We start from the raw sequence: 13,991 nt of genomic DNA, 5'->3' as shown, positions 1-13,991 counted from the left end.
AAAGAGTTAGTAACGAAGAAGCTACCCAATGTTTTGACAAGTCTATGAGGATGCTTCCTTATTAAATATCTACATAGGCTGCACTGATGAATAAATAAATAAACATGAATCCTCTAGATCTCAGTTTAAATTCCATTTCCTTAGAGAAGCTTTTTCTGACCTCAAATAATCTGTTACACACCTCCCATGGACATATGTGCTACTTCATGCAATAACTATTAAATATATAAATGAATAAATGAGTAATATCTAATGAGCTCAGGTACGACCTATATTGCTTATACTCAAATATACTTGTGCCAAAGAAGAAAGACAATGGGCAAAGCAGGCCATTATAAAGTAGGCCATTATGAGGTGATATTAGTATCACTGAAACAAAATTTAATATCTTATATGCTTATTAGCAATAGCATAAAACAGACGTACTTTCTGCCTTAAGGCTTTGGGGAAGCTAGGTAACCTTAGTGTAATTTCTAAAGAATACCTGGCATTTTTAGCCACTGGTCCACACACAGTCTTGCTGCTTCTGTATCAGAATGTCCTCGAATAAATTCCAATTCTTGTAACCCATGAGCATGCTGAAAATCAATTTTTTCCTGAAGACATTAAGAAAAAACTCAATTAAGATTACTACCCTGTTTTCCTTGAGAAAAGGATTTTGACACATTAGTGATCAGAAAATACTGATTACTTTTTATCCCCAGAACTCCACATCTAGAAATGTATGACAAAGAAATACATCAAAATAAAAATGCACGCTCTAAGATGTGTATACCAGTGTTATTGCACAAAATTTACTACAACCTACACCCCTAACAACAGGGTATGGTTTAAGTAAATTATGGTATGTACATTTGATGGACGTCATTAAAAACATTAACCAAATTTTTCAAAGGTGTGGAAATATACTTTGGATATCAAGTAGGTCGCCAAACTGTATTAAACAAATGAGGCAAAATATAAACAAAGAATAATTTCAAATCCATGTGCAACTGTATCTGCAGAGGAAAAAAAAGCCTGAAAATAGATGTATTAAAAGTTATTAAGGCTACCTCTAGGAATTTCTATGTAAAGGATTATTTTCATTTTTAAAGTTTTATGTATTGTTTCAAATTTTCCATATTTAATCTGAAACATACAGAAGGAGCCTAGTAAGTATTTGTTCACTGAGTAATATTAATAACATAACTCATTAGCACTTAATATGTGCCAGTGTAAAGCATTTGTTGCCATCTAGACCAAGGGGTAACAAACTTTTCCACAAAGGCTAGTTAATATTTCATTATGGCTTTGCAGGCCATAGACTCTTTACTGCCACTACTCAACTGTGCCATTGTAGCAGGAGAGCAGCCACAGACAATATGTAAACAAGTGAGTGTAGCAGTGTTCCAATAAATCTTTGTTTATAGCAGGCAGCAGGCCAATGACAATGCTGAACTAGATGCTCTGTATTGCTAAAAGCCTAAATCTTTCTAGTTATATTATCCATAAAACTATTTGTGTATTTTCCAATCATGTGTATTAAAATTAATACTTTTTGGCCACTAACCATGTGTGAGGCAGTTTTAAAAAGACTTTAGATTTTAGGTATTATTGTTCCCCTTTTATGATGAAAAACCTGAGGTACACAGAGGTCAAATAAATTGCCCAAGGATATATAATAATGTCAGAATTCAAACTCTGGCAATCTGATTCTAGAATTCATGCCCTAACGAGTATAATCATACTGCCTCTCAAAAAGATTTACATGTACTTCAAAAGGGATCAGAGTCAGAAACACTGGATTTGTAAGATATAAACCATAATAATGTATGGCCTAGTTATCAATGTAACAGGGTTTTCTATCAGGAAGGATAAATGAGGCGAAAAAGTGGATCAAGATTTTAATCTGAAGAAAATCTACATAACATTGTTCAAATTACAGCCATAGAATACTACTTCTCATGAATGTTAATATGCATTATATACATTTTTTAAAATTCTCTGTAATCAAATTAAGTATAGAAACACTGGTTTTAACACAAAATTTAAAACGTTACTTTCATGTAGGACTACTAAAGCCCTAAAGTGCTAATGTGCACCCCTATTTTTCATACATAGAGTATGCAGTATCCCAACTTCATAAATCACCAAATACTTTTTCAAAGTGTATCCTACAGGATCACTATACTGAATAACATGCAATAAGAAACAAACAATAGTAAAATCAAAGTTAGCCTATCCAAAGAAAGCAATAGCCCTTGATAGATATATCCTAAGACATCTTATATATTAAATTAGACCATTTATCAAAGTTCCTTGCAAGAATCAATTACAATAAAAACCCTTCAATTAAAGTAATATAATTGAGATTAAATATTACTACATACCAACTACTAGCATACTTATTTTAACAATTTCCAATAATTAAAATTAAACATCTTTTTTTCAAGTTCTCTGGCATTTCTTATAATAGAATTTGAACTCTATGAACATGCATAGTCAATGCTCAAAAAACACTTATTGAAATCATCCTAAAATTAGCCACCCTTTTTCTCTATCACAAAGCAACTTTCAAAAACTTTTTAGTACAGACGGGGTTTCACCATGTTGGCCAAGCTTGTCTCAAACCACTGACCTCAGGTGATCTGTCCACCTTGTCCTCCCAAAGTGCTGGGATTACAGGCATGAGCCACCAGGTCTGGCTCCAGTGAAGATTTTAATGAATATTCCTTTTTTTTTCTTTGAAACCTCTCCAGCACAAAAGTAAGATAACTTACTTTAATAGTGAAGACACCAACAATTCACAAAGGCCTACAATAGTTGAAAGACATTTTCTATAGTGTCTATTTTTAACCAGAATTATCATTCACTAGAATTCTTCAAAAATTATTTCTATTTCAGTTTCAATATCTTCCTTTCTGGGTGGTTTTTTGTTGTTGTTGTTGTTTTGTCATCTACTTTTAAAAAATAAGTAATCCATAAAGGGAATCAAAGTAAGAAAAACAAAATTATGGCTGGATAGCAAGCAATGAGCTTGCTATGTGAGTCATTTTCTTCCTTAAAGAAGAATGAAATCTAGACAAATTTATTCTTTCCAACTGGTTAAACAAAAAATTAAAAATTTCAAAATTTCAAAAAAAATCTTCAATGTAAAGTATTTAATAAAATGAATGACCATTTACATGGGTGGAGGCTGAAACTACCCTTGAGAAAAAACTTAGTTGTCACAGTAACTATACAAGATTCTGGGCTCATCACAAAAACTTTATTATCTATGTAGCCATTAAGACTGCCTGGGAAAAGAAGCTAGCATCACTTAGGAAATCTGAGGGAAAGTAAGACAGTTTGCAAATGATCCCTCTGTCAAAGAGATTTGACACATAAAAAAATCAAACAACATACTTATAGTTCTAGGGGGGTGGGGAACTTCCTTAAAATTGAATAGTGTTTCTGCCAGGATAAAAATAATATTGTCTGTGTTTGCATATGTGTATGTGTGTGTGTATATATGCAATAAGCATTTAAAACATACAATTAGAATACCATAGTCTAATTTAATTGATATTACATCATAAAGTAAAAGCCCCCAAACTAGCTTATTTCTAAATTTAAAGACCATTTTATAACAGATTAGGATGCTACAGAAATACACAAATTACTTTATAATAACCAATGGAATAAGGAGTCAAAAACATGCACGTTAAAATTACAAAATCATGGAGCTTATTCTGACCTGGGAGAATCTCTAAATTGTCCATTCACAGAATGAAACCCAAAGTCTATAAAACTAGTGATCTACTGAAATCTAAACAGCTGCTGGCCAGAGGCATGATTTAAATTTCCATTTTTGTACTTTAGTATGGAGTTTTTTACCCAATATATCAACATTCTGCTCCTAAAGGACATTTGTCACTATTGAGGGAATTCTTTAAGTAATTTCATTTGGGGCCTTCTAAAGCAAGTCAAGGAAAAAAATTATATCATGCAAGATTCTAAAAATGGGCTTCATTTCCACACAGCAGCTCATCTACAAACCTGCTTCAAATTTCTTCCTTTTAGTAATGGATTTAATTTGGAAGGATAAGCTAAAATTTGAGAAAGCAATCTGGTTCTATCCAGTAGAAAATAATCTTTCAACAGCTTATATCTATAAAAGCCCTGATAAACTCTTTTCACTCGTATGATAAAATAACCAGAAACTTGTTAATTGCTCATCTGTTTTGAGAAATCCATGATTTTTAATTCTCAAAAATGAAGTCCACTCAGTTAATTTTATTTTTTCTTTTCCTATATACAGATAAGAATCCAACAAACTAAAAATAGATGTAAAAAGCTATTATGAATTACTACTAAATTCATGAGCTATCTAGGGTACATACTGAGCTTTGATTAAATCATATCTTTTTTTGATTAAAGGCTTTTTACCAACTTTATTATAAATAATTTTTTAATTATATAAAATACCAATTAAAATAGCACATACTCTGAATGCTCTATTCTTCTCTTCTTTCTGCTGTTTCTCCACTTCAACATGGCGGGCTAGACGAGCCAGAGTTAAAGCAACTTTATCCTTCTGATAATCAATATGGTCTTTACGTTTAATATTCTCCTATAACATGAAAAAAATTTTCATTCCTTTTAACAAAATTAGCATTTGGATAATATACATCCATTCATAAAACAGCTACTATACTAAAGAACCATTTACTTGAGTTATAAGAACCTATTTTGTGTATTGTAGGTTTTATGTGGTATTTTGTAGGTCTGTCAATTATCCACCAGCATCTTTGGTTTTCAAGAAGTTAGACAAATGAGCTGCTAGGACATTTATCATCTTTATTCACTTAAAAGCTGAAGAGTAAACTCTTCTCAGATCTGTCAGAGAGGTAGGGTCATCAGGCAAAGCGCCGACCCCTAAAATTGGAGAGAGAGAGAGAGGTAAATAAAGAACATCGACTTACTAAAGCAGAAACCTTCTAGCAGGAACCTCCATAGGAAACTAAACTCTAATGGATGCTTAGCGTGGACGAGCCTGAGAGTTAAAAACTCCAGGGGGAGCCAGCCATAGAGGGGCCCTCACACATGATCCTATATTAATAGATGCAGAAAAAGCATTTAACAAAATCCAGCACCCACTCATGATAAAAACTCTCAGCAAAGTAAGAATAGAAGGGAACTTTCTTCACTTTATAAAGATCATCTACAAAAAACCTACAGCTAACAACACATTTAATGATGAGAAACAGAAAGTCTTCACACTAAGATAAGGAACAAGGCAAGGATATCCCCTCTTGCCACTCACAACATTGTACTAGAAGTCCTAGCTAATGAAGTAAGATGAGAAAAAGAAATAAAAGATACACAGATTGCGAAGGAAGAAATAAAACTCTTTGTTTGCATCCACATAGAAAATCCAAAATAATTAACAAAATCATTCCTGGAACTAATAAGCAATTATAGCAAGGTTGCAGGATACAAGGTTAATACACAAGTCAACTGATTTCATATATATCAGCAATGAACAAGTGGAATTTGAAGTTAAAAAATCACTATGTACATTAGTACTCCCTCCAGATGAAATACTTAGGTATAAATATAACAAAATGTGTACATCTTTATGAAGAAAACTACAAAACTATAATGAAATAACACATAAAACTTTTTTTTTTTCATTTTTATTTCACATTCAAGGGTACATGTGAGGGTTTGTTACAAGGGTATACTGCATGGTGCCGAAGTTTGGCCTTCTACTGATCCCATCACCCAGAGAGTGAACATAGTATCCAATAGGAAGTTTTTCAGCCCTTGTCCCCCTACCCTCTCTCTCTCTCCTTTTGGAGTCCCCAGTGTTTATTGTTCCCAACTTATTCTCCATGTGAACCCAAGATTTAGCTCCCACTTATAAATGAGAACATATGGTACTCGTTTTTCTGTTTCTGCATTAGTTTGCTTAGGGTAGCAGCTTCCAGCTGCATCCATGTTGCTGCACCTTTGCATAATGATTTCATTCTTTATTATGGCTGTGTAGTATTCCACAGTGTACATATACCACATTTTCTTTATCCAATCCACTGATGATGGGCACATAGGTAGATTCCATGTCTTTGCTGTTCTGAATAGTGCTGCTATGAACATACATGTGTCTTTTTGGTGAAATGATTTATTATTTATTTTTGAAACAGGGTCTCATTTCACCACTCAGCCTGGAGTGCTGTGACACAATCATGACTCACCGCAGCCCTGACCTGCCAGGCTCAAGCAATCCTCCTGTCTCAGCCTCCTGAGTAGCTGGGACTACAGGTGCACACCACCACACCTGGGTAACTTACTTGTAGAGATGGAGGCTTGCTGTGTTGCTCAAGCTGGTCTCAAACTCCTAGGATCAAGTGATCCTCCCGCCTCAGCCTCCCAAAATGCTGGGATTACAGGTGTGAGCCACTATGTCCAGCATTTTCCTTTGGATAATATACCCAGTAATGGGATTGCTGGGTAGAATCACGGTTCTATTTTTAGTTTTTTGAGAAATCTCTGAACTGCTTTCCACAGGAGATGAACTAATTTGCATTTCCACCAACAGTGTATAAATGTTCCCTTTTCTCTAGAACCTTGCCAATATCTGTTACTTTTTGACTTTTTAGAAATAACCATTTTGACTGCTGTGAGATGGTATCTGATTGTGATTTTGATTTGCATCTCTCTGACGATTAGTGATGTTGAGCATTTTTTCATGTTTATTGGCTGCTTGTATGTTGTCTTTTGAGAAGTGTCTGTTCATGGCCTTTGCCCACTTTTCAATGGAATTGGTTTTTTTCCTTGTTGATTCATTTAAGTCCTTATAAATTCTGGATATTAGTCCTTTGTCAGGTGCATACTTTGCAAATATTTTCTCCCATTCTGTGGGTTGTCTGTTAGCTCTGTTGATAGTTTATTTTGCTGTGCAGAAGCTCTTTCGTTTAATTAAGTCCCATTTTTCTATTTTTGATTTTGTTCTATTTGCTTTTAGGGTCTTCATCATAAATTCTTTGCCTAAGTCAATGTCTAGAAGAGTATTTCCTAGGTTTGCCTCTAGAATTTTTATAGTTTCAGGTCTTACATTTAAGTCTTTAATCCATTGAGTTAATTTTTATATATGGTGAGAGGTCTAATTTTACACTTCTGAATATGGTCAGCCAGTTTTCCCAGCATCATTTATTGAATAGAGTATCCTTTCTCGATTGTTTATTTTTGTCGACTTTGTTGAACATGAGTTGGTGAGTTGGTTGTGCCTGTGCTGCTTTATTCCTGGGTTCCCTAACTTATTCCATTGGTCTGCGTGTCTATTTTTATAACAGTACCATACTGGTTTGGTTACTGTAGCCTTGTAGTATAATTCGACATTAGGTAATGTGATGTCTCTGGCTTTGTTCTTTTTGCTTAAGAATGCCTTGACTATTCAGGCTTTTTGGTTACATATACATTTTAGAATAGTTTTTTCTACTTCTGTGAAAAATGACATTGGTAGTTTGATAAGAACAGTGTTAAATCTATAGAATGCTTTGGGCAGAATGGCCATTTTAATGATATTGAGTCTTCCCATCCATGAGCATGGAATGTTTTTCCATTTGCTTGTCATTTATGATTTCTTTCAGCAGTGTTTTATAGTTTTCCTCGTAGAGATCTTTCACACCTTGGTTAGGTGTATTCCTAGGTATTCAATTTTTTTGTGTGGCTATTGTAAATGGGGTTGTATTCTACATTTGGTTTTCAGCTTAACTGTTATTGGTATATAGAGATGATACTGACTTTTGTAGTTAATTTTGTATCAAAGAACCTCTCAAGAAGTGGAGAGGTATTTCATGTTCACAGATAGAAGACTCACTATTGTCAAGATGTCAGTTCTCCTAACTTGATCTATATATTCAATGCAATCACAATCAAAATCCTAACATTATTTTTTGTATAACAACAACCTCAATTTGAAGTGTATATGGAGAGGCAAAAAAACTATTAGCCAACTCAGTACTGAAGGAGAACAAAGTCATAGGACTGACACTAACTGACTTCAAAACTTACTATAAAACTACAGTAATCAAGACTGTGTGGTACTGTCAAAAGAAGGGACAAACAGATCAATGAAACAACAGAGTCCAGAAATAGACCCACATAAATAAAGTCAACTGATCTATGACAGAGGAGCAAAAACAATACAATGGAGAAAAGACAGTCTTTCCAACAAATGGTGTTTGAACAAGTAGACATCCACACGCAAAAAACAATGAATCTAGACCCTGACCTTACACCCTTCACAAAAATTAACATAAAATGAATCACAGAACAAAATACAAGATACAAAACTATAAAACTCCTAAAAGATAACATAGGAGAAAATCTAAATGACCTTGTGCATGACAATGACTTTTTAGATACAGGAGCAAAGCACGGTCCTTGAAAAAAATAATTTATAAGCTGCACTTCATTAAACTTAAAACTTCTCTGCAAAAGACAATGTCAAACAAATAAGAACACAAGCCACAGACTGGGAGAATATGTGCAAAAGACACATCTGATAAAGGACTGTAATCCAATATGTACAAAGAACTCAACACTGAACAATAAGAAAATGAACAGCCTGCCTTAAAAATGGGGAAATAGCTAAACAGACACCTCACCAAAGAAGATATACAGATTACAAATTAAGCATATGAAAAGATCAGCATATGCCATTAGGGAAGTATATGTTAAAACAACGAGATACCAATATACATCTATTAGAACGGCCACATCTAAAACACTGACAACATCAAATGTTAGCAAGGATGTGCAGCAAGAGCCAACTCTCATTTCATTGCTGGTTGGAATGCAAAATGGTATAGCCACTTTGAAAAACAGTTTGGCAGTTTCTTACAAAACTAAACATATTGGACTTCTTGGTTGTTACTCAAATGAATTGAAAACTTATGTCCACACAAGAACCTGCACACAGCTGTTTACAGCAACTGTATCATAAGTGCCAAAACTTGGAAGCAACCAAGATGTCCTTCAATCGGTGAATGGATAAACTTTGGTATATTCAGACAATAGAACATTATTCAATGCTAAAAAGAATTGAGCTATCAAGCTGTGAAAAGACATGGAGGAACCTTAAAAGCACCTGATTACTAAGTGAAAGAAGCCAATCTGAAAAGGCTGCATACTGTATGGCCACATATCACATTCTGGAAAAGGCAAAACTACGGTAACTGTAGTAAGATCAGTGACTGACAGGATAGTCAAGGAGGAGGGATAAACTGGCAGGGCACACAAGATTTTTAGGGCAGTCAAACTATTTTCAGTAATACTACAATGACAGATACATGTCATTACACATTTGTCAAAGCCTAGAGAATGTATAACACCAAGTGTGAACCCTAATGTAAACTATGAACCCTAATGTAAACCAAGCTCACATTAACATACAGGCAAAGTGGACAACTTATAAATCACTGTTTACCTACCAAAAAAAAAAAAAGTAATGACAATTCTCCTGCTACAAGGTTGAAAGAAGGGCTGACATTCCTAAATAGAAAGAAATAGAAAGTATATCTTATGCCTACATTTTTCTAGAGACTAGAAGCACAAAATATGTTAATGGAGGTTCACAGATTGAAACAAATGTACCCTGTAGTTTCCAATGAGGATAGTGGAGGTTTTGCATGGAGGGGTGGGAGGGGAGGAGGTAAGTGGACACTGTCTGACTGTACTTTCTGCTCAATTTTATGGTGTACCTAAAACTGCTCTTTTTAAAAAGTCTATTTTAAGAAAAGAAAAATAATAGATCTTCCCTGGCTTCTTTTTTCTTTTGAGACGGAGTCTTGCTCTGTCACCCAGGCTGGAGTGCAGTGGCGCGATCTCGGCTCACTGCAACCTCTGCCTCCCAGGTTCAAATGATTCTCCTGCCTCAGCCCCCGAGTAGCTGAGATTGCAGGCGCGTGCCACCACCCACCTAATTTTTGTATTTTTAGTAAAGATGGGGTTTCTCCATGTTGGCCAGGCTGGTCTCGAACTCCTGACCTAAGGTGATCTGCCCGCCTTGGCCTCCCAAAGTGCTGGGATTACAGGCGTGCACCACCACGCCCCGGCCTTCCCTGGCTTTTTCTACCAGAATGATTGGTTACAAATAAAATATCACTCTTTGGGCAAATCAGTCACATATGTACAACCCAATTTTTATCTAAAGTGGGATAGTGGTGCACTGGCCAAGTCAAACAGCAGGTATGACTTCTTTCTAGAGGTAGAAAGAAGTTATACTGAAGTAAGCATATATAAAAAGGCCAAATTGGTATTTTCAGTATGAGGCTACACCTTTGCAGTAGGGACTGTTTATAGGACCACTTTAGATAGAAGTAACCCCAGCTCACTTTCTGACTACTTGGACAGCATACAGCCTTGCACCCAGGTAGTAGGTGACATTCTACTAACTTCAAAATATCCTTTTACAAGTTACAGGGCAATGCAGGTCCTCAGAAATGGCAGTCACAGGAAGTTATTTTTCTAAACTTTGATCCCTTAGTACAGGCAAATCTGCCTTAAAAGCAAATTAGTGGTCGAGCGTAGTAGCTTACACTTGTAATCCCAGCACTTTGGGAGCTGAGGCAGGAGGTTCACTTGAGCCCAGGAGTTGGAGACCAGCCCAGCTAACAGTGCAAGGCCTCGTCTCTACAAAAAAATTAAAAATTTAGCTGGGTGTGGTGGCATGTGCCTATAGTCTTAGCTACTCAGGAGGCTGAGGCAGGAGGATTGCTTGAGCCCAGGAGATCGAGGCTCCAAAGAGCTATGATCCAGCCTGGGGGACAACAAAGCAAGACTCTCTTCTAAAAAAAGGGGGAGAAAGGTCAAATTAAATTTATTCCTTGCAAAAACTACAAAATGTAGATACTACCTCGAGAAGGAAATTTAGCATAGATCACAAATATAAACTTTAATTTAAAGATGCTGGTAAAATTTAAACACAGGTATAGAGTGTGTTAACTTTCTCAACAGAGATAATACTTTCTAGGTTTTAAACTTTAACAAAAGTCATGCTTGAAAGTCCTGGTAAACCAAGGTCACATTAACATACAGGCAAAGTGGACAAGGTATAAATTACTGTTTACCTACCAAAAAAAAAAAGACAGTAATGACAATTCTCCTAAAGGTTGAGAGAAGGACTGACATTCCTAAACAGAAAGTATATCTTATGCCTAAATTTGTCTGGAGACTAGAAGCTGCAGAAAATTTATCAAGATATTTCAAGTTGCTACCCTTACACCAAACAAAATATTTCCTAATCAAACATTAAGTCACTTATGCAGCCATGTGGGTGTAAGGATAGGAAATCAAGGGATTTTTTTCATCTCTCCGAAATTCCTGTGTCACAACAACAATGTGAATATTCTAGGGACAGGAAGAAGGCCATGTTTTGGATAAATTTAGGTAATCCTAACTCGGGAAGAACTATCCTTGAATTGATGTTTCCACTATCATTTTACTTTGTTCTAGGCCATAATAAAACCATTTTAAGTTACTTTTGAAGTTATAGTCATTCAGGAAAGCTTTACATAATATTTATTCTTCTTAATGTTTACTTTAAAGCATACTAAATGAATCTGATGCAATACTTTTCACTGACCTTTGCATATACTCTTGATGCAAAGGTCAATGAAAATTAAATTCAGAAACACAGCAATTATATATTCAGTAGGAAAAAATTTCAGTAATTCACTAGTCACATAAGTATATTCTTAAAACTTCACTCCCTTCAAATTATACTCACGTGCTATCAAAACATACTCACGACACTAGGAAGATAAGTTGTTTAGCCATTTAAACATTAATTTAGATCTCTTCAACTTCACTCTAAAATTAATCACTAGCCTACCATCTTGGAGGCCTTAAAACCTGTTGGGATTGTCATTATTTACTACAATTGTTTTTCTTATATTTAGCTATTAGTAGCCTACATATTTTATTTAACTACAAGTTGAGCTTCCCTAATCCAAAAATCTGGAAAAAAAAAAAATGCTCTAAAATCCAAAACTTTTTGAGTGCCCGTATGAAGCTCAAAGGAAACATTCCTTGGAGCATTTCAGATTTCAGATTTTCACATCAGGGATGCTCAACCAACAGCTGTAACACAAATATTCCAAAATCCAAAAATATCTAAAACCCAAACACTTCTGATTCCAAGCATTTCAGATAAAGGACACTCAACTTGTATATGGTTATGTCTCAATAAATTGCCTCTGTTATTCTCTACTAATTCTGCTGATCTGTTTATTCTCTTTCACAACACTGAAGGGCTGAAAAGACCCACAAGCCCTAATGCTGAAAACAAAAGGCATCTTAGAATTGACTTTGGGCTTACTTCTTCCCTGTGAGGAGAAAGTTTCTTCATTTTTTTTTTTTTTGTTTTGTTTTCCTTTAGAGATAAGGTCCTCTGGCTGGACTCAAACTCCGGGGCTCAAGCAATCCTCCCACCTCATCCTACAGAGTAGCTGGGCCTATAGGTACATGCAACCATGCCTGGTTCTATTTTCTTCTTAAAAAGGAAGAAAAAAAGGAACTCTGGCTACCAATACTGAAAACAGATTTGGGAGAAATCTGCTAGGAGTAGAGGAAAAGGAATGGTAGTAGAGAAAGCAAGGGCTTCAACTCTGAAATCTTTGCCAATTTTGAACTGAGAAACTTTAAAACTGAGAAAACGGGTATATTAAAGAAAGATGTTTTAAACTGGGAAAAGATTAGGTATATGAGGCAGACTATTAGTCATATGATATTTTTCTTTTTCTTTTTTTCTAGACAGAGTCTTGCTCTGTCACCCAGGCTGGAGTACAGTGGTGTGATCTCGGCTCACTGCAACCTTTGCCTCCTGGATTCAAGCGATTCTCCTGCCTCAGTCTCCCGAGTAGCTGGGGCTACAAGTGTGTGTCACCATCCCGGCTAATTTTTGTATTTTTAGTAGAGATGGGGTTTCGCCATGTTGGCCAGGCTGGTCTCAAACTCCTGACCTCGAGTGATCCGCCAGCCTCAGCCTTCCAAAGTGCTGTGGCGTAAGCCACAGCACCCTGCCCATACAATATTTTTCCATTACAAATCTTGGCTTTGGGGGTCAAGGTAGCTGGTTAAAGGGGCCACTCAATTCTTAGCACTGAGAATTTCTACCATTCCCCTAATGCCACATACTGACGTGTAATTTAATGTGAAATTGTAAAATTCCAGAACTCCTTTCCTTAGGCTGGATTTGCCATCTCCCACAAAGCCCATAACTTGAATTATCACTTAGGTCTTTGGACCTAATTTCTAACAAAGGTAAGGCTTTCAGATATGACCTGAATTCACTTCTCAAGCTAGAATTGAATTGGCTCTGATCCATGGCAAAAATCATTATTTTTTTTAAGTTTCATTTTGAGTATTAGCAGCTATAGGATCTTCAGGGTTATCCTCCTTGAAGTATTTCCTATGGTCACCCTGGACTAATGTCTTTAAATAAAACACATAATATTAAAGGGTCCATACCGACAGTGAATAAGCTATCAATGCTAGCCAATCAGTGTTGGGGAGAAGCACAGGAAAGCCTTAGGAAAAATATTGGGAAAATTGGAGGTCTTCTGTTTGCCAATACTTCAGATCAATTTCTGCATTAGTTTTCTTCCATACCCAGAATTGCATAGAATTAAGGAGGATGTAAAGCCAGAAGAAGCCTAAAGGCAGATTCTGGTTCAGTCACTATGAAATTCTTACATTCTCAAATATACTTCTTTACATTTTTATCTAAAATTTTAGGTAAAACATGCACAGAGCAAATTTCGGTTGTATCCTAGAAATGATAGCCATATTGAGGATACTGGTTACACCTGACGAAACATCTCCATGAAAGTTAAGCATACACAGGTAAAGCAACACTTCTAAACAACGTTTATCTTTTAATGTATCCTGGTAGAGTTACAGCAAAAAGTCCAAGTCTAGAAATGACAACCTGACACAAAATCCCATAATCAACGAAATGATAATGT

The 13,991-nt window shown here is 35.7% G+C and overlaps 1 protein-coding gene and 1 long non-coding RNA gene across 8 annotated transcripts in view; one reads left to right on the top strand and one right to left on the bottom strand.

Moving 5' to 3' along the window:
- Positions 1 to 13,991, bottom strand: part of ZNF451 (zinc finger protein 451) — an 80,118-nt gene that overhangs the window by 40,981 nt on the left and 25,146 nt on the right. For all 7 annotated transcript variants that reach the window (XR_007059234.1, NM_001031623.3, NM_015555.3 and 4 more), the window contains 2 exons: positions 4,466 to 4,591; positions 485 to 596 (listed from right to left, as the gene is read on the bottom strand). Coding sequence is in view for 6 of the 7 variants with exons in the window: in NM_001031623.3 (NP_001026794.1) it covers positions 485 to 596; positions 4,466 to 4,591 (238 nt within the window). In the remaining variant the exon portion in view is untranslated. The remainder of the gene's footprint in view (positions 1 to 484; positions 597 to 4,465; positions 4,592 to 13,991) is intronic.
- Positions 1 to 13,991, top strand: part of ZNF451-AS1 (ZNF451 regulatory antisense RNA 1) — a 57,303-nt gene that overhangs the window by 42,889 nt on the left and 423 nt on the right. The window contains exon 3 of the long non-coding RNA NR_110742.1: positions 13,762 to 13,869. This is a non-coding gene — a long non-coding RNA (ZNF451 regulatory antisense RNA 1). The remainder of the gene's footprint in view (positions 1 to 13,761; positions 13,870 to 13,991) is intronic.

Source organism: Homo sapiens, chromosome 6, assembly GCF_000001405.40.
Source record: "Homo sapiens chromosome 6, GRCh38.p14 Primary Assembly".
NCBI lineage: Eukaryota > Metazoa > Chordata > Mammalia > Primates > Hominidae > Homo > Homo sapiens.
Note: the sequence above shows the minus strand (reverse complement) of the source record. Positions and strands in the feature narration are given on the sequence as shown.